Source organism: Homo sapiens, chromosome 19 (assembly GCF_000001405.40).
Source record: "Homo sapiens chromosome 19, GRCh38.p14 Primary Assembly".
NCBI lineage: Eukaryota > Metazoa > Chordata > Mammalia > Primates > Hominidae > Homo > Homo sapiens.
In genome coordinates, this window is record NC_000019.10 from 35,090,039 (window position 1) to 35,114,020 (window position 23,982).

Consider the following 23,982-nt stretch of genomic DNA (forward strand, 5'->3'; position numbering starts at 1 on the left):
GCTGCATGCCTGTAATCCCAGCTACTCGGGAGGCTGAGGCAGGAGGATCACTTGAACCTGGGAGGCGGAAGTTGCGGTGAGCTAAGATTGCGCCATTGCACTCCAGCCTGGGCAACAAGAGCGAAACTCCGTCTCAAAAAACAAAGACAAAACAAACAAACAAAAAAACCTGCTGTGATTTGCTCACACCTAACAAAATAAGCAGTAATTCCCAGATATCATGAAAAGCCTAGTCCATGTTCAGATTTTTCTGATCGTTCCTAAAACATCCGGCTTTCCTCCCTTGCACCAAAGCTTTGCTGGCCCCTAATGCTTGCCCATTAAGGGTTCCTAGCTGGTTCCAACATTAGGGGCGCAATCGGGGCAGGTCATGTTCTACGGGGTGGGGGTGGAAGGTGCCGCTTTCTTGCTCAACCAACAGGCAACAAAAGCCTGTCCGATACCATCCTGGGGATCAAGACACCCCTAAAACCAGGTTCTAACCCACCTATGTTAGATCCAAATGTGAATCTCTGACACCTGGGCCGTAGGGAACCCTCAAAGGGTTTGGAATAGGGAAGGCGGGGAGCGGGGTGGAGTGGGGGGGAGGTAAGACAGTGTTCATGGAGTGAGAAAGGTGGGCCACCTAGGGGCTATTTCTGGAATAACAATAGGTCGCATTTATCCAAGGTTCCCAGGGTGCCAGGCGCTGTCCCAACCACTTAATTTATTTTAACTTGCTTAACCCTCAAAGTCAGTTTGAGGTCAGTACTCTTTTCGGAGAGATGGGTACGGAGTCCTGGAGAGGTTAAGCACCACGACAGAGCCGAGATTTTAAGCACTCGGTCAGGGAGTTGGGCAAATGTGGCCTGCAGATCATGTTTCCTTACCCGCGCTTTTTCTCCTCCCTGCATAGCCGCCACGTGTCCTAAGCACAGCAGCTACCAGCAACGCTTGGACCCGCGCCGGGTGCAGCTCTGCGTCCCCGCGGCCGCCCTGCCTGCTCCGAGGGCTGCGCCAACGATAACGCGCACCTGTGGGCAGGGGCCAGGTGCCGGCACCCGAAGGAGTGCGGCTCGGCGCACGGCGGCCCCTCCTACCAGGTGAGCTGGGGGCAGGGTCTTGCTGTTGTGAGGGGGTCGGCCCATCATGGGGGTCAGGGAGCCCCCAAAACATGCCAGGGATGGGCGCCCAATCCGGGACACCTATATTCAATTGTGCGGATGGCACATTGTGGGTTCACAATGTGTTGACCTGCTTTATTATTGATGATTCCAATACTGCTACTAGTTACTAAGGTCATTCCCTGTGTGCTAAGTGCTTAATAATATTATTATTGGCTGGGTGCGGTGGCTCACGCCTGTAATCTGAGCGCTTTGGGAGGCCGAGGCCGGCGGATCACCTGAGGTCAGGAGTGTGAGACCAGCCTGGCCAACACGGCGAAACCCCATTCTACTAAAAACACAAAAATTAGCTGGATGTTGTGGTCCACGCCTATAATCTCAGCTACTTGGGAGGTTGAGGCAGGAGAATCGCTTGAGCCCGGAAGGAGGAAGCTGCAGTGAGCCGAGAAGGCGCCACTGTACTCCAGCCTGGGCAACAGAGCGAGACTCTGTCTCAAAAAATATATGTATTATTATTATTACTGTCAGCACTATTGACTTTTTAAAATATTAGCCATCACTTATTGAGTGCATAGCCCCCACTACACACTTTGGCAATGTAATAGTAGTAATAATAACAATAATCAAAACAGCTCATTTTATTTATCATTAATAGGTACAAGACTCTGTCCTAAATGTTTTAGCATTGTGGTCAGTGCTATTTTTTGTTTATTTTTATTTTTTTATTTTTATTTTATTTATTTATTTATTTTTTTGACACAGGGTCTTGCTCTGTTGCTGGGGCTAGAGTGCACGGGCGCCATCTTAGCTCACTGCAGCTTCAAATTCCCTGGCTCAAATGATACTCCCCCTCAGTCACCTGAGTAGCTGGGACTTCAGTTGCGTGCCACCATGTCTGGCTAATTTTTAAATTTTTTGTAGAGATGAGGTCTGACCGTATCGCCCAGGCTGGTCTCAAACTCCTGGACTCAAGGGATCCTTCTGCCTCAGCCTCGCAAAGTACTAGGATTACAGGCATCAGCCACCACACCCAAACCATTTGTATTATTTTGATGGCCAACATTTGAGTAGTGATCACACATCAGGTCCCATACTGCTAATAATAATAATTAAAATGTGGCCAGGCGCGGCGGCTCATGCCTATAATCCCAGAACTTTGGGAGGCTGAGGCGAGTGGATCACCTGAGGTCAGGAGTTCTAGACCAGCCTAGCCAACATGGTAAAACCCAGTCTCTACTAAAAATACAAAAATTAGCTGGGCGTGGTGGTGTAGCAGGACGAGCTGCAGACAAAACCCCTCAGACACTGAGTTAAGGAAGGAAGGGCTTTATTTGGCCAGGAGCATCGGCAAGACTCACGTCTCAAAAAACCGAGCTCCCCGAGTGAGCAATTCCTGTCCCTTTTAAGGGCTCGCAACTCTAAGAGGGTCCACGTGAGAGGGTCGTGATCTATTGAACAAGCAGGGGGTATGTGACTGGGGGCTGCATGCACCAGTAAGAACAGAACAGAACAGGACAGGGATTTTCACAGTGCTTTTCTATACAATGTCTGTAATCTATAGATAACATAACTGGTTTGGTCAGGGGTGGATCTTTAACTACCAGGCCCAGGGTGTGGCGCCGGGCTGTCTGCCTGTGGATTTCATTTCTGTCTTTTGGCTTTTACTTCTTTCTTTGGAGGCAGAAATTGGGCATAAGACAATATGAGGGGTGGTCTCCTCCCTTAGTGGCAGGCACCTATAATCCCAGCTACTCGGGGGCTGAGACAGGATAATCACCTGAACCCGGGAGGCAGAGGTTGCAGTGAGCCGAGATTGTACCATCGCACTCCAGCCTGGGGGACAAGAGTGAGACTTCGTCTCAAAAAAAAAAATTTTAAATGTATTGGGGGCTGGGCACAGTGGCTCACACCTGTAATCCCAACACTGTGGGAGGCCAAGGTGGGCGGATCACTTGAGGTCAGGAGTTGGAGACTAGCCTAGCCAACATGTCAAAACCCTGTCTCTACTGAAAAATACAAAAATAAGCCGGGCATGGTGGCACATGCCTGTAGTCCCAGCTACTTGGGAGGCTGAGGCACAAGAATTGCTTGAACCCAGGAGGCAGAGGTTGCAGTGAGCTGAGATAACACCACTGCACTCCAGCCTGGGTGACAGAGCAAGACTCCATCTCAAAAAAATAATTAAATGAATAAGCTAAAATATATTGGGTATTTACTTTGTGTTCATGCCTGGGCTAAGCATTTTATGAATAGTAATAATAATAATAATGGCTAATATATTAAGAGTTTGGGCATTTACAATGTGCCTTGTGTAAGCATATTAAAATAATGGTGATATTAACAATAATAATGGCTGGTATGTACCAGGCATCTGCTGTATTGCTGTGCTAACCAGTTAATGATATATAATGATAACCATCGTGAACATATTTTGGTCATTTGCTGCGTGTGTAATCCTGTCATCGGGATAAAAGGTAATATTTTCTGAGTGCTTATTATGCCTTGAGCACTGGGCCAGCATGTTATTAATAATGGTATCAGATATATGTCAAGAACTTGGTTACTGTAGGCCAGCTGGGTGGTGAGAGCCTCATGCGTATGACCGCACTGACCTTCAAACAGCCCTTTGATTGCCTCCAATGTGCAGAGGGGGAAACTGAGGCTACAGGATGCACAGAGATCTCAAGGGACAGAGCTAGGTCTGGACTCCAGGTCTCTCTGACCCCAAAATTGTGCTGCTAATCACTAGGCTGTGCTTTCCACTGAGAGAAAGCAGGTGTCACAAGTTTGCTGCCCTCTGGGTAAGGCAGTAGCCTGTCATGATGGTCAGACCCCCAGCTGTTGAATCTGGGCATGGCATTCCTGCCCATCCCATGCTGAGCCGGCCCCTGAGCCTCTGCTCTTCTGGGTCAGCTGCCAGGCCAGCCTCGGGCCTCCACCAGGCCCTGTTTGGGTCCACCTGGGCTGGGCTGGGCAGGGCATGCTGATCTGGCCTCCGACCTGGTCTGGCTGAACCGATGCACCCGCCGCTGCAGCTGTGACAGAACGGGGCATTTCCGCTGCAGCCCGGCGTGCTGCCCCACTGGGAAGATCTGTGGTCTGCAGGGTGGCCAGCTGGGCTGCCAGAGCCCCCTGGGCACCTGCATGGCCACTGGAGATCCTCATTACTTCACCTTCGATGGGGCCATAGCCCACTTCCAGGGCACCTGCACCTACCACCTGGCCTATGCCATCCATCCATTCATCCATCTATCATCCATCCACTCATCCATCCTTCCATCCATTCATCCATTCATCCATCCATCCATCCATCCATCCATCCATCCATCCATCCATCTATCCACTCATCCATCCTTCCATCCATCCACTCACAAAATTTTTCTGAGTATCTACTTTGTAGCAGGCCCTGCTGTAGGCTCTGGAGACACAGCAAAGAACAAAAGAGACAGGTCTCTTCTCTCCTAGAGTGCACATTATAATAGTGAGAGACAAACAGTAAAAAATAAATACATAATATTTCAGATGGTGATAAGTCCTAGAAAAATAAAACTAGAAAGGAGAATCAGGAGTGCTTGTGAGTATGGGGTGGGAGTTATAATTTTTAAACAGGGTGAGCAGGAAAAGCCTCATTGAGGAGGTGACTTTGGAGCAGAGACTTGCTGGAGGGAAGGAGAAGCCTTATGAGCAATGAGGGAAGAGCCCTCCAGGCACAGGGAACCTTAGGTGCAAAGTCCAGACGCAGAAATGCCCTTAGCCTTATTAAGAAAGAACAGGGTAATTCCAGCAGTTTAGGAGGCCAAAGTGGATCACTTGAGGAAGTTCAAGGCCAGCCTGGGCAACATAGGTGAGACCCCCATCGCTACTAAAAATTAAAAATTAAAAAATTAGCCGGGCATGGTGGCACGTGCCTGTAGTCCCACCTACTTGGGAGGTTGACTTGGGAGGATCACTTGAGCCCAGGAGTTGGAGGCTGCAGTGAGCCATGGTAGTACCACTGCACTTCAGCCTGGAGGACAGAGTGAGGCTCTGTCTCTAAAATAAAATAAAATAAAATTTTAAAAAAGAAAGAAAGAGGCTGGGCACAGTGGCTCATGCCTGTAATCCAAACACTTTGGGAGGCTGAGGCGGGCAGATCACGAGGTCAAGAGATTGAATCCTGGTCAACATGGTGAAACCCTGTCTCTACTAAAAATACAAAAATTAGATGGGGGTGGTGGCACATGCCTGTAGTCCCAGCTACTCGGGAGGCTGAGACAGGAAAATCGCTTGAACCCAGGAGGTGGAGGCTGCAGTGAGCTGAGATCGCACCACTGCACTCCAGCCTGGGTGATGGAGCAAGACAAGGAAGGAAGGAAGGGAGGGAGGGAGGGAGGGAAAGATGAAAGAAAGAAGAAAGAAAGAAAGAAAGAAAGAAAGAAAGAAAGAAAGAAAGAAAGAAAGAAAGAAAGAGAAAGAAAGAAAGAAAGGGAGAGAGAGAGGAAGGAAGGAAGGAGAAAGAAAGAAGAAAGGAAAGGAAAGGAAGAAGGAAGTAAGGAAAAGAAAAGAAAAGGAAAAGAAAGAAAAGAGAAAGAAAGAAAGAAAGAAAAGAAAGAAAGAAAGAAAAGAAAGAAAGAGAGAAAGAAAGGGAGAGAGAGGAAGGAAGGAAGGAGAAAGAAAGAAGAAAGGAAAGGAAAAGAAAGGAAGAAGGAAGAAGGAAGGAAGGAAAAGAAAAGGAAAAGAAAGAAAGAGAAAGAAAGAAAGAAAGAAAGAGAGAGAGAACAGGGAGGCCAGCGGCCAGTGTGGCTGGAGTGGAGTAAACCCGGGGAGAGTAAGGGGTGAGGTCGGAGCGTTAATGGGGACAGATCCTGTAGGGCCTTGTGGGTCACTGTAAGGACTTTGGCTTTCACTCAGAATGGGTTGGGAGTTCCAGGGATTTCAGGGAGGGCTCTGAGCCCAGGAGGCCCCTGATCTGACTCAGGTGTCAGCAGATCCCTCTGGCTTCATGCAGTGGACAGATGGCCGAGGACCTGGGGGGAGCAGGTAGACTGGAGAGGAGGCTGACAGAATTGTTCAGGCAGAACGTGGCAGTGGTTGGAATCAGGAAGAGGGCAGTAGAGGGAGTGAGACATGGTTAGATTCTGGAAATATTTTGAAAGGATCAGCTGTGGGATGAGAGAGAGGGCAGGTTCCAACATGATTTGGTTTTTGGCCTCCGCGTCCTGGACAAGCTGCCACTGCCTGAGATGGAGAAGGTAGGAGAGGAAGCTTGGGGTAAGATTAGGAGTTCAGATTTGAACGTGGGGAGTTCGAGGTGCCTCTTTTCTCCCAGAGCTGGGACACAGCAGGATGCAGACACCTGGAGTTCTAGGACTGGTGAGGGCATTTGGGAATTGTCAGAATACAGCTGGGGTTTAAAGCCAGGCAAGTGGATGAGAAAAGTAAGGGAAGGGAAACGAAGGGGAAGGGGCTAAGGTGAACTTGGCAGTGTGAGGTGTGAGGTCCTTGGTGGCATGGAGCAGACAGCTCGGCTTGGAGATTCATACACCTTACCTGCTGTGGGGTCATGAGGAGTGTATGGATGGCACTAGGGGGTGGGAGATGGTAGGGGGAAATGGATCCTGAGCTCTTCCCCTGCACTGCAGGTGGACAGCCAGGCGGTAAGCAGGGCCTGGTGCTCCTGCAGGTGGGCACCTGGCTCCAGGTACAGTTCAATGGCCACAATATGCTGTTGGTGTGCGTGGGGCCTGAGTTCTGGAGCCACCTCTGCGGACTCTGTGGCAACTTCAGTGGCGACCCCAGTGATGACAAGGTGCTCCCCAGCAGGGTGCCCACCCTCAGTGATGCCATCTTTGGCAACGCCTGGTGGACCCAGGACAGCCGGCCTGGGTGGGTGGCTGCCTGGGACCAGGAAGGGCCCGGGTTGGGAGAAATACAGGGCTCAGGGAAAACAGTGGGCAGACAGGCAGGCTTTGAGAACAGAAAGGTGGAAGAAGAGGGTGTGAATTGCACACACAACTCTCAGGAGATTGATTCAGGTAGAATCAGGAACAATGATTATACCCTTTCACGGATGGGGAAGACTGAGGCATGGAAGGGCGAAGCATCTGCCCAAGTTCCCACAATAAGAAATGATGGAACGGGCCGGGCATGGTGGTTCTTGTCTGTCATCCCAGCATTTTGGGAGGCCAAGGCAGGAGGATCACTTGAGCTAAGGAGTTTGAGACCAGTCTGGGCAACATAGCAAGATCTCGTCTTTATTAAAAAAAAAAAAAAAAAAATTAGCCAGGCCTGGTGGTGGTGCACACCTGTATTCTCAGCTACTTGGAGGCTGCGGCAGGAGAATCTCTTGAGTCCAGGAGTTCGAGGTTGCCATGAGCCATGCTGGCACCACTGCACTGCATCCTGGGTGACAGAGCGAGACCCTATCAAAAAAGAGGGGAAAAAAATGGTGGAACAGGGATTTGAGTCCAGGCATTCTGGCTTCAGGGTCCCTGATCCTAAATACTCCACCCCCCCACCTCTCACAGGGGAAACAGGAAGCACTCCTCACAGAGACCTTATTTATTTATTTATTTATTTATTTATTTTTGATTCCTGCTCCGTCGCCCAGGCTGGAGTGCGGTGGCACGATCTCGGCTCACTGCAACCTCCGCTTCCCAGGTTCAAGTGATTCTCATGCCTTAGCCTCTCGAGTAGCCGAGATTACAGGCACACGCCACCATGCTCGGCTAATATTTATATTTTTAGTAAAGATGAGGTTTCACCATGTTGGCCAGGCTGGTCTTGAACTCCTGACCTCAAGTGGTCTGCCCACCTCGGCCTCCCAAAGTGTTGGAATTACAGCCATGAGTCACCGTGCCAGTCTCCCTTCACTGAGACCTTAGTCCTGCAAAGTCCAATGCACCAAACACACGTGCTATTTAAATTTATGTGTAAATTAAATTAAACATCTTCTGTCACACTACCTATATTTCAAATACTCGGTAGCCTCTGGTTGCTAGTGCCTGCGGTATTGGATGGCACAGACTTGGGGATTCGTCCAAGTAGCAGAGCTGGGATCTGAAGCTAACAAAGTTGGTTCCAGAATCCAGGATCTAACTAATAACTATCCTGGCTGGGCGTGGTGGCTCACACCTGTAATCCCAGCACTTTGGGAGGCCAAGGTGAGCAGATCACCTGAGGTCAGGAGTTCAAGACCAGCCTGGCCAACATGGCAAAACCCCGTCTCTACTAAAAATGCAAAGATTAGCCGGCTGTGGTCGTGGGTACCTGTAGTCCCAGCTACTTGAGAGGCTGAGGCAGGAGAATCGCTTGAACCCGGGAGGCAGAGGTTGCCAAGAGCTGCGATCGCGCCACTGCACTCCAGTCAGGGTGACAGAGCGAGACTCTGTCTCGAAAAAAAAAAAAAAATTAATGACTCCCTCATGTTGAGTAACTGTATGAAAATCATTTGTTACTATGGGGTTGAGGTTTTTAAACGTGTCTAAAACTGCACCAGGAGCTGTCAGCTGCTGGGAGGGAGAACCTGGTGCGGGCAGAGGAGGACTAGCCAAGGGTGGCCAGGGGGGAGGCAGGAGGAGGAGGAGGCTTGGAGGTGGTGGTGTTGAGTCCTGTGATCCCCCAGCTGCCGGCGGGACCCTGGTGGCGCTGAGCCCTGCCAGGACAGGCCCCGGGTGGAGCAGCTCTGCAGTGTTCTGGCAAACCGCTCCGGGCCCTTGGCCAAGTGCCACTGGTATGAGAGCCCCGTGTCCTACACGCAGGTGTGTGTCTCTGACCTCTGCCAGTATGGCACGGGCAACCGCATGCTGTGCACCATGCTGGAGGCCTACGTCCAACTCTGCGCCCTGCGCTGCGCGTTGCCTGCCCGCGTGGCGAGCCAGCCTGGGATGCAGTTACGTGCTCCTTCCCTTTCACCGCCCCCAGCTCCAACGATGGCCTCCCCACTTGGCTAGCTAGGATGCCTCCTTCGCCGGTGGATCGGAAGCCCTCATCCCCAGGGAGACCCCAGCCCTGCCTAGGATGTTAACCCAAGCTTCAAGCCAGACCAGGGCTCCTCTTGGGCCCTTCCTAATCCTACCTCTCACCTCCCAGCACTGGACCCTATATTGTCCGAGTTGCTCACTGTGTGCTGCAAGTTTGAAGTGGCCTGTGGGTGTGACATGCATAACAAACCACGTGGTTAAAAGTTTCATCGGAACAATCGGGAGGCTGCAGTGAGCTGAGATCATGCCATTGCACTTGGCCTGGGCAACAGAGCAAGACCCTGTCTGGAAAAAAAAAAAAAAGAACAGTGGCAGTTTGGGAATCGTCCTGTGGTTCATTCCTGCCCTTCCCTCCCCTGCACTCACCCTGATTTTTTTCTCCCTCTAATTGAGGGAGCAAAGGTTTCAGGGTTGTGGCCTCTGGGCGATCTTTCCCCTCCCCCAGGTGTGGCGTGTCCAGCCAACAGCTACTATGACTCCTGTGGGCCACCCTTCCCGGCCACCTGTGCTAGCCTCAACTCCTCCGCGCCCTGCACCCTCCAGTGCACAGTGAGCTGCTTCTGCCTCGAGGGCTTTGCCCTGGAGGCGGGCATCTTCGGTGCCCCACGCTTGCTGCGGCTGCCACCTGCAGGGCCGCTATATCCGCCTGGGTACTGAGGTGCTGCCTGCAGCCCCCTGTGATCAGAGGTGCGTGTACCATGGACCTGGACGCCCGCTCGAGTGCCACCCTCATGCCTGCAGGCCCTGTGAGCTGTGCTGCCAGCACAGGGGTGTCTGGGGTTGCTACCCCATGCACTACGGGACACTGTGGCTGTACGGAGACCCCCACCTGCACACTTTCAATGGGACCCACCATCAGGTTCAAGGGCCTGGCTGGGAGATATTGGCTAGAACATGCCGGCCACACCACAGCGCCTATGCCATCTGGGTGGAGATCAGGCGCCAGGAGCCGTGGGATGCCATGTGGGCCCAGCAGGTGGATGTGGATGTGGCAGGATGGCAGCTGTCACTGCTGGCAGGACAGTTTGGAGCCGTCCAGGTACTTGTCACCCAGCTCTGGTCCTGGGCCTCCAGGAACTCTAGTGAGTAATGAGCGTGAAGAACAGCAACGCCGGGCGTGGGAGCTCACGCCTGTGATCCCAGCACTTTGGGAGGCTGAGGCAGGAGGATCGCTTGAGGCCATGGGTTCAAGACTAGCCTGGCCAACATGGCGAAACCCTGTCTCTATAAAAAATTTAAAAATTTAGCCACAAGTGGTGGCACGTGCCTATAGTCCCAGCTACTCAGGAGGCTGAGGTGGGAGGATCATTTGAGCCCAGGAAGTCGAGGCTGCAGTGAGCTGAGATCACGCCACTGCACTCTAGCCTGGGCAACAGAGACCCCATCTCAAAGAAAAACAAAAACAAAAACAAACACAAACAGGCTGAAGAAATGGTGGTGGCCCAAGGGCCTTCCCTTTGGAGAAAGAGCTACTGGGACCTTTAGAAGTGGGCAGAGGGCCCCAGCCCTGAGCTTCAGAGGATCCACCCGCTTTGGCCTCTTCTGGCTGCGTCCCACTCCGTGGGCTTTGGAGTCCTCTGGGAAACGCCCCTGACCCCTAGAGCCTGGAGCCTGCATGGCCCTCCCCTTCCAGACCGTGCTCCAGGAATGGGAATTCCCTGCCTAAAAGGCTCAGAGCTGCTTCCAGGGTCCACGCTGGCCTTGTCCCCAGGTCCATCCTCACAAGAGTGGACCATGCGGCCCACATGACGCATTCTAGGCAGCATTGCAGGAAGCCAGTGTGGACCCAGCTGGGCAGAGCGGCCCAGGCTAGATGTACGGGGATGCAGTGCCTCTTGCAGTGAGGGCCAGAGCTGGGGCTGCACAGAGAAGAGACGGGCCCAGGGCAGTCTCTCCTTGGATGCCAGATCCTGTCCAGGAAAAGTTGGAAATTCTGATTTTGCACCTGACCACCAGGACGCTAGGGAGGTTTATGCATCAAGGCAGGAGGATAGACCGTATTCCATGTAATAGTGTGGCAGCTTGGTTTGTAATCTTAAACATGAAGATGTGTAAGGTGTGTGCCTCCATTTCTACTCTTGTCTGGGCCCCTCAGGGTTGATGGGTGTTGGGTCCACCTGGGGTTCGGTGGATGCTTTAGCTGGCAACGTGGTAACACGGTGAAGCCTGTGGTGATGGGCCCAGGGGACCAGGACTGAGTCCCACTGTGCCATTTGCTAGCTGTGGAACTGGACCTAGTGGCTTTACATCTCTGTGCCTCAGTTTCCCATCTGTAAAAGGGAAGTGAATGGTACCTACCTGTATGTGAGGATTAAGAGGTGTGAATTGTCTAGGAGAAGGCATTTAGTAAGGGCATAAAAGCATTTGATCAATAAATAACACAGGTGAGGTGTGATGGCTCATGCCTTTAATCCCAGCACATTGGGAGGCTGAGGCAGGAGGATCACTTGAGCCTAGGCAACATAGCAAGACCCTATCTCTATTTAAAATTTACATTTAAAATTAAAAAATAATAGTAAATAAATAAAACATGTAACTGCAAAGTCAAGCCAACGTTGTACCACTAGTGCTGCATCCCCACCCCCAGCAGGCAGAGTAAAGTTGTAGTCTTTAAAAATCTGAGGCCGGGCACGGTGGCTCACGCCTGTAATCCCAGCACTTTGGGAGGCCGAGGCCGGCAGATCACCTGAGGCCAGGAGTTCGAGACCAGCCTGACCAATATAATGAAACCCGTCTCTACTAAAAATACAAAAATTAGCCAGGAGAGGTGGCATGCGCCTATAATCCCAGCTACTCGGGAGGCTGAGACAGGAGAATTGCTTGAACCCAGGAGGCAGAGTTTGCAGTGAGCTGAGATCGCAGCACCATTGCACTCCAGCCTGGGCAATAAGAGCGAAACTCTGTCTCAAAAAAAAAAAAAAAAACAAACAAAACTGAACTCAGGAGCCAGGTGTGGTGGTTCGTGCCTGTAATCCCAGCACTTTAGGAGGCCGAGGCAGACAGATTGCTTGAGCCCAGGAGTTTGAGACTAGACTGGGCAACATAGTGAGACCCCACTCTACAAAAATAAAAAAAATTAGGCCGGGCGTGGTGACTAACACCTGTAATCCCAGGACTTTGGGAAGCCAAGGTGGGTGGATCACCTGAGGTCAGGAGTTGGAGACCAGCCTGGCCAACATGGCGCAACCCCGTCTCTACTAAAAATACAAAAAATTACCTGGGCGTGGTGGCAGGCGCCTGTAATCCCAGCTACTTGGGAGGCTGAGGCAGGAGAATTGCTTGAACCTGGGAGGCGGAGGTTGCAGTGAGCCGAGATTGTGCCACTGCACTCCAGCCTGGGCAACAGAGCAAGACTCCGTCTCAAAAAAAAAAAAAATAAAAAAAAATAAAAAAATAAAAAATTAGCTGGACATGGTGGCGCATGCCTGTAGTCCCAGCTACTCAGGAGGCTGAGGCTGAGGTGGGAGGATCAGCTGAGTCCAGGAGGCAGAGGCTGCACCATGCACTTCAGCCTGGGCTACAGAGTGAGATCTTGTCTCAAAAAAAAAAAAAGAAAAGAAAAGAACAAGAAACGAACTCAGGTCACATTCCTTCTGTCTCAACGCCCTCCCATGGCTCCACCTCACTGAGTGAAACTGTGGCCTATGTGACCCTACAAAACTGGTTTCTGTCACCTCTCTGCCCTTGTCCCCTCCCACCTGCCCCTCACTCACTCTGCTCCAGCCGCAGTGACCTCCTAGTGTCCTCCCATACTCCAGGCAGGCTCCCACCTCAGGGCCTTTGCACAGGCTGTTCCCTCTGCCTGAAACACTCTTCCTGGAGGTCCTCATATAACTGATCATTCTCATCTTTCAAGTCTCAGCACAAATGTTACCCTCTCTGAGAAGCCCTCCTTGACCACACACATGAAAAGAACCACCACTCCCACCCTCTCTCTACTGTAACCCTACTCCTTTTCTTTTTTTTTTTTTGAGACAGAGTCTTCTGCCGCCCAGGCTGGAGTGCAGTGGCGGGATCTCGGCTCACTGCAGGCTCTGCCCCCCGGGGTTCACACCATTCTCCTTCCTCAGCCTCCCGCGTAGCTGGGACTACAGGCACCCGCCACCTCGCCTGGCTAATTTTTTGTATTTTTAGTAGAGATGGGGTTTCACCGTGTTGGCCAGGCTGGTCTCGATCTCCTGACCTCGTGATCCGCCCGCCTCGGCCTCCCAAAGTGCTGGGATTACAGGCGTGAGCCACCGCGCCCAGCCCTTTCTTTTGAAGTATCTGTCAGTCTCTTAAATCATCTTTTCTGTCAATCATTTCTTTGTTTATGATCTATCTTCCTTTTGACAGAATATGTGTTCTTCGAAGGCAGGAACTTAATTTTGTTGAAAAATAGACAAAAATCCCTGGGAGAAAGACAATAAACAAATACAGAAGTAAATTTATGGTATGTCAGAAGGTGACAGCTGGTTCTGGAGAACAAAAAAGCAGGAAAGGGGTGAGGGGCCAGTAAGGGTGTTGCCCTTTAAGACAGGGTAACAGGCCAGGCACGGTGGCTCATGGCTATAATCCCAGAACTTGGGAAACCAAGGCAGGAGGATCGCTTGAGCCCAGGAGTTCAAGACCAGCCTGGGCAACATAGGGAGACCCCGTCTCTACAAAAAATCATGTAAATTAGCCGGGCGTGGTGATGTGTGCCTGTAATCCCAGCACGTTGGGAGGCTGAGGCAGGAGGATAGCTTGAGCCCAGGAGTTCAAGACCAGCCTGGGCAACATAGTGAGACCCCATCTCTACAAAAAATCAAGTACATTATCCAGGTGTGATGGTGCGTCTGTAGTCCCAACAAGTCGAGAGACTGAGGCGAGAGAATCACTTGAGCCCATGATGTTGAAGCTGCAGTGAGCCGAGATCATGCCATTGCACTGTAGCTTGAGTGACAGAGCGAGACCCTGTCTCCAAAAAAAACAAAAAGGGAAGCAGTGAAGTGTGGAGCAGAGATCGGAAGGAGAGACCGGGAGCCATGTAGATACAAGGGGAGAGTGTCCAGGCAGAGGAGCAGAGGCTGGAAGGGTGCCTGGTGTGTTGGAGGAGTGGTGGGGAGACCCGGGGAGCTGGCGCAGAGTGGGCAGATGAGTGAAGGGGTGTGTGAGACAAGATGAGGACAGAGGGGACAGAGGTTTATTTTGTGGGACTGCCCAGGCCACGGTGGCGAGTTTGGATTTTCTCCAAGTGTACTAGGGAGGTATGGAAAGGTTTTGAGCAAAGGAGGGATAGGATCTAATGTGCGATTTCAAAGGGCTCCTTGGGTGCTATGTGCAGAGTGGATCTCAGCAGTGGCAGGAGCAGGGGCCCAGGAGGGGCAGGTGTCTGGACGTGGTTGCCCGACGTAGCCTGGGTGTCTGTGTTCCAGGTGAACGGCTCCCAGGCTGGCCTGCCCCTGACTCTGGCTGGGGGGCACACTCCAGGCCTTCTTCACGCCCTTGGCCATCACAGTCCAGGTGGCACCCGGCCTCTCCATGACCTTTCACGAATCCCATGCCCTCTGAGTGGCAGTGCCTGAGACCTACACCAACACCCTCTGTGGCCTGGGCGGGGACTTCAGCGTGGATACCCAGGATGACTTCAGCGGCTCTGATAGCACATGGCTCTCTGATGCCAACAGCTTAATGGGGGCCCAGCCCCTCTGTGCCCACCAGACAAGGCAGCCCTATACCAGGCCTTCTGTGGCTTGCTGGGCACCCAAGATGGGCCCTACAGGGCCTGCAGTAAGGACGTGGATCCCCAGGTGCATGTGGAGAACTGCATCCATGACCTCTGTGCCACGGGGGGCTCAAGAGAGACTCTGTGTGCCATACTGGGGAGCTACGCCCAGGAAAGCCAGCAGCGCAGCGTTCCCATGCAGCCCTGGAGACACCTCTTGGCCTGCAGTAAGTGGGTATTCCCAGGGAGGGTCTTTCTCAGCCTGACCTCCCCAGCTGGCCCAATACCACTTCCAGGATGTCCTCCTAGGTCAACACCACCCAAAGTGACCCACTGCATGCCTTTCTGGCTAACTGTTCCCGCGAAGAACCTACCTGCTTAAAACTCTGCAATAACAATAACAGATGACACTGAGTGCTATTGCATCAGTCAGGATGGTCTGGGTTATGCTGAAGTAACGAACTAACCTGAACATGACCCAGCATGACCAAGGTTGTTTCTTCATCACTATCTTCGTCACCTTTGTCATCATCACAGTCACTATCATCATTACCGTCACCATCACCACCACCACCAGCGTCACCATCACCACCACCACCAGCCTCACCACCACCACCACCACCAGCATTACCATCATCACCACCACCACCATCACCACAAGCATTACCATCATCACTACCACCACCATCATTGTTACCACAACCACAACCATCACCACCATCACCATCATCATTGTTACCACAGCCACAGCCATCATCACCACTACCATCACCACCATCATCACCATCACCACCATCACCATCATCATCACCACCACCACCACCATCAACATCATCATCACCATCATAACCATCACCACCAGCATCACCATCACCACCAGCATCAGCATCACCATCACTACTATAATCACCATCACCATTATCACTACCACCACCATCATTGTTACCACAACCACAACTATTGTCATCACCACCACCACCACCCTCACCACTATCATCACTGTCACCATCACCGCTATCATTACCATCACCATCAACACCATCACATCACCAACAACATCACCAGCCCTACCACCATCATCATCATTACTATCACCACGACCACCACCACCACCATTATCACCACCATGATCACGCCACCAGCATTATCACCACCGTGACCACGCCGCCACCGTTAATCACCGCCGTGACCACGCCGCCACCGTTATCACCGCCGTGACCACGCCGCCACCGTTATCACCGCCGTGACCACGCCGCCACCGTTATCACCGCCGTGACCACGCCGCCACCATTATGCTACATCCTGATGATGCCTCCACCTCCCCTCCTTTGCCTTTATGACTTACCCTTGGCCCCCACAACCCTCTCTCCGCTCCCTTGGTCCTATTCTGGTTGGAAATGCTCCAGAATAGTAATGCTTGCTCAATTATTTAACTCCTACCTGTTTTCTTCCAGAGCTGGCCTGTCCTCCCCGCAGCAATTACGAGCTCTGCGGCTCCTCCTGTCCTAGCTCTTGTGCCGAGCCTGCCCTGCCCGACAGCTGCCTGACACCATGCCAGGATGGCTGCCAGTGTGACCCAGGCTTTGTGCTCAGTGGCATGGACTGCGTGCCCCCAATCCAGTGCAGCTGCTCCATGGGGGGCAGGTACCACCACCCGGCTGGGGAGGCCTTCTGGACTGGGGAGCGCTGTGAGCAATTCTGCCACTGCCAGGCCTCCACCCACGCCGTGTGCTGCTCCCCGTCCTCCTGTGGGCCGGGGCAGAGATGTGAGACCCTCAGGGGCATCTTTGGGTGCCACCCACTCTCCCCTGGCATTTATCAAGCAACCATGCACTCACACGTCGCCTCCTTTGACCGGAAGAGTGTTGAGTTTCCAGGCACTTGCGCTTCTGCTTTTACCAAGTCCTGTGGCTCCTCCAGCTCATTGCGCCTTTTCAAGGTGGAAATTGGGAAGGAGAAACAAGTCCAGCAGTCCCATTGTGTTCATTTCAAAGATGTAGGTTCATGGGACCCAGGTTTGTCTGCAGAGAGAGCCCCGACCTGATGAGGTAAGCACTCATTGGCATCTAGAGACTCTTGAACCGATTGAAGCTAAAAGAAATACATTGGCTCAAACTAAGTAAAAATCATGTGATAGCCTAGTGAAAGTGTAGAGATTCTGGGTCCACAGAAGTTCCCTATATACCACTTTGGCTGTTTTGGTTACAGAAAGCCTCATAAAAGGTAACTCAAACCAGTCACAGACTGTGTTTTATGATTTTTAGACTAATTACATAACTGAAAATTCCAGAGGGAGATCAGGCATGGTTTGATCAGGGTGCTAACTCAGTTTTTCAGCATTTCTCTTGGTCTGTGTTTCTCTATAGCATTAGCTTTGTCCTCAGGCTGGCTTTTCTTGTGATGGCAAAATAACTGCCAATTTTCCAGTCATTAAATGTGTATTCCCCATTGTCCAAAACCCGAATCTTTTCTTACCCCAAGTACTCAACAAAAATTCCAATGCTTCACTTTGATTAAACCCCACTGAGCCAATCAGTGCAGCCCAGAGGTTTTCTTAAGCCTATCTAATCCTACTCAGGAGTTGTAGGTGGGAGAGATCCTGCCCCTACCCCCCATCTCTGGCAGCTACTTCTTGCAGGGAGAGAGGGCAAAATGGGAATCCACCCCTGTGTCCCTATGTCCCCCGAAACCAGTATTTCTTCTTAACAATCTTCAAAGAGTGTAAATGCCCTGGTAAACCTCCACTCTGAGACCTGAAACTTTTGTCTAGAACCCACAGGGGTGGATGTGTTTTCTAGGCCCGAGGGCCCCTGCCTACAAGAGTTCCATTGTTGGCTATTGGAAAACACACAGCCACACCCCTCCCACTCCACCCCCTTCCAGGAAGGGAACCAGCTTTCAGAATTAGTCATGCTGTCAGCGTCCCACACAACGAGCCCATTGACTCCAAAGGGCAGCACAGCAGATGGACTGCTATTATCCCAGTGGTACAGATGGGGAAACTGAGGCCCGGGAAGGCAGACTTGCTTGCCTAATGTCGCATAAGGAGAAAGTGGCTGTGCTAGGATTGGAACCCAGGCTGTCAGGTTCTGAGCCCTTCCCTTTCTGTCTGTGGGCCTACTGTGTGCTCCCAAAAAGCTGTGGCCAAATTAAGGAGGTGGCATGTCTGATTCATCTGTGGCGGGGCCTGGGATATATAGTAACTCTCAACAATGGTGTTCATTAGTCCGGGCATGGAGGCTCACGCCTGTAATTCCAGCACTTTGGGAGGCCGAGGCGAGTGGATCACCTGAGGTCAGGAGTTCGAGACCAGCCTGGCCAACATGGAGAAACCCCATCTCTACTAAAAATACAAAAAAATTGCACTTTAGGAGGCTGAGGCGGGCAGATCACCTGAGGTAGGGAGTTCGAGACCAGCCTGGCCAACATGGAGAAACCCCGTCTCTACTAAAAATACAAAATTAGCCAGGCGTGGTAGTGCATGCCTGTAATCCCAGCTACTCGGGAGGCCGAGGCAGGAGAATCACCTGAACCCGGGAGGCGGAGATTGCAGTGAGCTGAGATAACGCCATTGCACTCCAGCCTGGGCAACAAGAGCGAAATTCCGTCTCAAAAAAAAAAAAAAAAAAAAGAATGGCGTTCATTCATCCACTCATTAAAAACTTCCTGAGCACCTACTATGTGCCAGACCCTGGGCTCAGTGCTGGGGAAACAGCAGTGGGTGGAACGGTCAAGATCTCTCCATCGTGGTGGAGCTGAGATTCCAGAGGAGAGAGAGACAATAGGCCTCACCAGTATGAATTATATAGTTTGTCAGGAGGCCGTATGCGTTCGTGTCAGGGAAGAACATACAGAACAGGATGGGGAGGGGCGGTGGTGGCTTCCAGATGGAAAAGATGGTTTTAAATTGAGAAGCCAAGGAAAGCCTCCTTGAGAAGGTGATATTTGAGCAGAACCCCAGGAGAGAGGCACTCATGTGCACATCTCAGGGGTGAGTGAGTCCCGCAGGGGCTGGATGGGGCCTGGTGCATTGGACGAGCCACAGGGAGGCTGGTGTGGCTGGAGCTGAGCGAGGGGCTGGGGAGAAGAGACGATGAGGTCAGAGAGGTGACGGGGACCAGATGGTGGGGGACTTATGGGGCTAGTGAGGACTTCGCTTTTGCCTGGAGCGAGGTGCGCCGAGGACAGGGCTCTGAGCCAGGTGGCCCCTGATGGGACTCAGGTGGTCCCAGGCTCCCTTTGGCTGCAGGTGGGAACAGACTGCGGTGGGGCAGGGACCAGAGCAGGGAGACCAGGGAGGAGGCTCTGGGACGTCCAAGCTGGAGGGGACAAAGGCTGGGCCAGGGTAAGGGCAGTGGGAGGGGAGAAGTGGATGGTTCTGGAAATATTCTCTGGGGTCTTATCCCCTCTTCAAACCCTGCTGACTGTTCCTGGGGCCCTCAAGTTTACGTGGGCCCCTGGTTTTGTTTTTGTTTTTGTTTTTGTTTTTTGAGATGGAGTCTTGCTCTGTTGCCCAGGCTGGAGTGCAGTGGCGCGATCTCAGCTCACTGCAACCTCTGCCTGCCGGGTTCAAGCTATTCTCCTGCCTCAGCCTCCAGAGTAGCCGGGATTACAGGCATCCACCACTATGCCTGGCTAATTTTTATATTTTTAGTAGAGACAGGGTTTCACCATGTTGGTCCGACTGGTCTTGAACTCCTGACCTCATGATCCGCCTGGCTCAGCCTCCCAAAGTGCTAGGATTACAGGCGTGAGCCACCACGCCCGGCCGCCCCTGTTGTTTTTAGTACTCCGTGCACTCCCTGCAATCACACAGGGTGTGTGTGCAGCCAGACGTGGGGTGGAATCCTGACTGCCCGTTAATTAACTGGGTGACTTTCCGCTAAACAACTAAGCCCGGGTGCCGCAGTTTCCCTAAGTGGAAGAATAACTCTCCGCAGGCAGTTAAGTCCTGCAGCCACAAGCCCCCGGATTATTGGTTGAGAATAGAGAGACAGTCAGCAATCGTAGGTAAATGACTCAGGCCCGAGCAGGGGTGTGGCGCTGGCGCAGGCTGAGTGCGGCACTGCCTTCTTGGATACCAGGGTGCAGGGGGAAGGGGATGTGGAGATGGGTCCCGGCTGCCAGCAGGCTGCTGGGTCAGTGCCTCCCCGCAGCTGAGGGTGCCAGCCAGGATCTTAGAACTGCAGACTCATGGTCCTGCCTCTGCAGCCAGGAGGGAGCCTGCCAGCCCCAGCACCAGCCTCAGAGCCTTGGGGCTCCCACCGTTAGGGGGCTGGGGCTGGGTGGCCAGGAGGAGTTAAGTCACCCACAGCCAGGAAGGGGCAGAGCTGGGACCCAAGGGGCTGTGAACGGTGAACTCATCCAGGAGGAAGGAGAAGGAAGACATTGTGGGAGGGCCAACAAGAACACAGGCAAAGGAAAAATATATAGACAGTAAAAGGAAAAATATATATAGATAAAATATTCAATATATAAACTATAGTAATATACATAAATATAGAGTTTCTTAAGTTCATTTAAATTCTGTTTCCTTAACTGTTAGTTTACCTGGTTCTAAATTTACTTTTCCTTCCACTTTTTCGGTGTTGTTTTTTATCTTGTGATTTATTATTTTGTGTTAACTTTAATATTACATTTTTAAGGGCTGGGCGCAATGGCTCACGCTTGTAATCCTAGCACTTTGGGAGGACCAGGCGGGCGGATCACTTGAGGTCAGGAGTTCGAGACTAGCCTGGCCAACATGGTGAAACCCCATCTCTACTAAAAAATGACAAAAAATTAGCCGGGTGTGGTGGCGGGCACCTGTAATCCCAAGCTACTCAGAGGCTGAGACAGGAGAATTACTTGAACCTGGGAGGCGGAGGTTGCACAGTGAGCCAAGATCTCACCACTGCACTGCAGCCTGGGTGACAGAGCAAGACATTGTCTTGAAAAAATATATTGTTTAATTGATTTTTTTCCCCAACTTTTGAGATTTTCGACTATAGAAAAGTCATGTAACCCGTACAATCCACTCAAATACCCTTCACATAGCTTCCTCAATTCTTAGTATTTTGCCTGATTCGCTTTATCTCTTTATATCTATGTAATTTTCTTCTGAGTTTCTGTGTCTCACTTTTCCTGTCCCTATTTACTTGTCCAGGCGTTTTCAAAAGACTCAGTCTTCTCTGTTGTTGGTTGACCAATAAATAAATATTTAGCCTTTTTCTGGAGGGAGATCACAAAACAGGACAGAGCTCTTCCTGAATCCTTCAGGCGGATTCGCCCTCTCTTCCTGTTCTGCGGAGGACAGTCCTGGGGCCTTTGCTGTGTCAACCATGCCCCGAGGCACCCCAGAAGCTGCATCTGTCGAGTCTGTGCTGTAATCATGGCCTTGAAGGTGGAAGGCAGGTCTGAGATGGGAGGTGACAGGAGCAGGTCTGGGCCGGAGCAACCGCAAGCGCCCGTCTCCTTCTCTCCCTCCCTCCCTCCCTCCTTCCCTCCCTCCCTCCCTCCATCAAACCAGGCAGAGCTGGGGCCTGGGGCACCCCAGGGAGACAGACCTGCCACCTCAGCAATGGCTTCCAGGTGGGAATGGGGGTCTTTTAGTCCAGACTTTTCCAGAGATGCTGGAAACACAGCTTGTCCTGCTGTTTAAATGTTTGCAATTATTAATTTTTGCAATGCTTTGTAAAAACTAAAGGTACAATAGTTGGGTTCCACCCTGGGACCGCCAGTTTGCAATCCTTCTCTTAGGGACTGAGTCAGGCTGGGGGGGGGGGGCGGGCTGCAGGGCTCCCACTTGAACCAGAAGTCCCTGTCCCAGATGTCTAGCTCCAAATGTGTTCCCTGCCCTTTCCTGCTTCCCTGTAGTTCCTGCCCGCACCCAGGACCCCCAGCCATCTGCCCAAGCCCTCCCCACCCCCACCACGCCGCCCCCACTCCCCACATGATGGGGAAGCTGGCCAAGACATTCATTCCTCCACACCCCCTGCCCCCATCAGCAGCTCCACCCTCAGCACCCCCACCTCAGCTCCTCCTGCAAGGCCTCCGTGGATGGGGGGTGGCGGTGGAGAAAGCCTTTCTTTTATAATTGTTTTAAACCTACTTTTATTTTTATTTTTGTAGAGACAAGATCTCTCTATATTGCCCAGGCTGGTCTTGAACTCCTGGACTCAAAGGATCCTCCAGCCTCGGCCCCCCAGAGTGCTGGGATTACAGGCGTGAGCCATGGTGCCCAGCCTGGTAATTAACAGATACTTCGTGACCACCCACTATGCACCAGGCCCTGTTCTATAATTCAGATGAAAATCCCTGAGAGGAGCTGACGTGCTAGCAGGGGAGGCAGATAGCACCACAAAAAAAAAAAAAAAAAAGCAAACAGAAGTCAAAAGGTCATAGAGAGGTCAGGGGGTAGGTGCGATGGTGGTCGGGGAAAGCCACTTGAACCTCATGGCTTTGAGCTGTCCAGATGCGGGAGAAAAGAGAGCCAGGCAAGGGAATAGGCATTGCAAGGGCTCTTGGCCAGAAACATGCCTGGAGTGATCCAGGAACGGCAAGGAGGCCCAGGTGGCCGGAGCAGAGTGAGTGACAACAGGGGTTAGGGGGAACCCTGAACCTCCCCTGAGTTTCCCTAGTCTGTAAGATGGGGGTCTCCAACCGGTGGCCCCAGGGCCTTATCCAACCACTGGATATTTTTCATTCTGTCTACAAAGTGTTAAGAAAACGAAGTTACCAACATTTAAAAATCAGGGCCGGGTGCAGTGGCTTGCACCTATAATCCCTGCGCTTCGGGAAGCCAAGGTGGGAGGATCACTTGAGACCCAGAGTTCAAGACCAGGTTGGGCAACATAGCGAGACCCCCGTCTCTAAAAAAATTAAAAAATTAGCCAGGTGTGGTGACGTGCATTTGTAGTCCCAGCTACAGGGGAGGCTGAGGTGGGAGAATCACTTAAGCCCAGGAGTTGGAGGCTGCAGTGAGCCATGATTGGACCACTACACTCCAGCTTGGGCAACAGAGCAAGAACTCACCTTAAAAAAAAAAAATCCGGAAGGCCGGGCTCGGTGGCTCATGCCTGTAATCCCAGCATTTTGGGAGGCTGAGGCAGGCGGATCACTTGAGGTCAGGAGTTGGAAACCAGCCTGGCCAGCACGGTGAAACCCCGTCTGTACTAAATATACAAAAATTAGCCGGGCGTGGTGGCACACACCTGTAATCCCACCTACTCGAGAGGCTGAGGCACGAGAATTGCTTGAACCTGGAAGGCAGAGGTTGCAGTGAGCTGAGATCGTGCCACTGCACTTCAGCCTGGGCGACAAGAGCAAAATTCCATCTCAAAAAAAAAACAAAACAAAACAGGAGATTTCATCATAAAAATCTCCATTTCTAGCTTCTGTGGGTGAGTGATGACGTCAGAGCAGCACAGAGGCAGGTGTCAGGGAGCCTGTGGACTCTTGGCCACTGTGTCACCTCACATGGCTCCTGGAAGCCAGGCGGACAGTGATACGTCCACAGCCACACCATCCCCATGGTGGTGGGACAGGGTTACCTGCCAGTGCCCACTCTTCTCCCACAGGTGCTGAGACCACAGCGCTGTTCCACAAAGCCCCAGGAAGCCACATTACCCTGTCCACCGGCCTCTCTAGCCCCATCTTGCCCAGGAAGTGGGACCTTGGCGTATCGCTGTGACCACACCTCCCAGCCGGTCAGCCTGGCCGCTCAGGCTCTACCTGCAAAGGCAAGGCCCCACCCAACCAGCACCCCTCTCATGGCTGGGGGTGCCTCCAGGCTGCCCTCTCTAGGGCCAGGAGCCTGCAGAAACGCTCCCAGCCTTGAATAAAGAGCAACGAAATTATTGAAACAAAATCAATAAAAGTTTGAATCAGGGATGGTATAACATGCTCTGGCTTTGATTCTGTGCTTTAATTCAGCGTTCCTGAAAAACTTATGATGTCAGAAACTATCTGTAGGTTTGGTTTTTTTCATTTTGCAAGAATTCCCAGGATATGGAGAAATCACAGCCACTCACAGCCTTAACAGGTTCTTTGGGCCCAAATGATTCCAAAAGCAAAACGAGAGAAACTTTTTCAAATATGTTTATTATGTATATTATATACAATATATTAATAAAACATATTACCTACATGCATTTAAAACATAACTGAAGTCAGATTGGCCCAGAAGACTCACTCCAAATGAGACCTAATCCCCAATAGGGTGCAAGTGACTGCACAAACTCTACTCCTCACA

At 51.8% G+C, this 23,982-nt stretch overlaps 1 protein-coding gene and 1 long non-coding RNA gene across 4 annotated transcripts in view, besides 2 other annotated features; one reads left to right on the top strand and one right to left on the bottom strand.

Annotated features, from left to right (window-relative positions):
• The window catches only part of HPN-AS1 (HPN antisense RNA 1), a 47,246-nt gene extending 30,980 nt beyond the window's left edge, over nucleotides 1–16,266 (bottom strand). The window contains exons 1-2 of one of the 2 annotated variants that reach the window (NR_024562.1): nucleotides 16,191–16,266; nucleotides 9,167–9,349 (exon numbers count right to left, since the gene is read on the bottom strand). This is a non-coding gene — a long non-coding RNA (HPN antisense RNA 1). The remainder of the gene's footprint in view (nucleotides 1–9,166; nucleotides 9,350–16,190) is intronic. The other variant, NR_024561.1, reaches the window with a different exon arrangement.
• Nucleotides 484–1,021: an enhancer, noted in NCBI's record as "H3K27ac-H3K4me1 hESC enhancer chr19:35581426-35581963 (GRCh37/hg19 assembly coordinates)". NCBI's record gives its function as "activates a minimal SCP1, AML or CMV promoter by ChIP-STARR-seq in naive H9 embryonic stem cells {active_cell/tissue: H9 hESC(naive)}" and the evidence as "EXISTENCE:reporter gene assay evidence [ECO:0000049][PMID:30033119]".
• On the top strand, nucleotides 910–23,631 carry LOC124904701 (hepatitis A virus cellular receptor 1-like). Of its 2 annotated transcripts, XR_007067238.1 has the most exons (3): nucleotides 910–1,082; nucleotides 14,461–16,798; nucleotides 23,309–23,631. XR_007067238.1 is itself a non-coding variant. In XM_047439795.1 (2 exons), the coding sequence occupies exon 2, from the start codon at nucleotides 15,224–15,226 to the stop codon at nucleotides 15,878–15,880; it is 657 nt and encodes a 218-aa protein (XP_047295751.1). In that variant the 5' UTR covers nucleotides 910–1,082; nucleotides 14,461–15,223; the 3' UTR covers nucleotides 15,881–17,282. The 2 variants fall into 2 exon arrangements, 1 of the variants encoding a protein (XP_047295751.1); XM_047439795.1 differs by lacking the exon at nucleotides 23,309–23,631 and having other exon boundaries at nucleotides 14,461–17,282.
• Nucleotides 19,223–19,823: an enhancer, noted in NCBI's record as "H3K4me1 hESC enhancer chr19:35600165-35600765 (GRCh37/hg19 assembly coordinates)". NCBI's record gives its function as "activates a minimal SCP1, AML or CMV promoter by ChIP-STARR-seq in naive H9 embryonic stem cells {active_cell/tissue: H9 hESC(naive)}" and the evidence as "EXISTENCE:reporter gene assay evidence [ECO:0000049][PMID:30033119]".
• Nucleotides 23,632–23,982: the final 351 nt, after the last annotated feature.

Excerpts from the sequence above, each read along its gene's own strand:
- LOC124904701 (XM_047439795.1), top strand. The coding sequence starts at position 15,224 with ATGACCCAGCATGACCAAGGTTGTTTCTTCATCACTATCTTCGTCACC.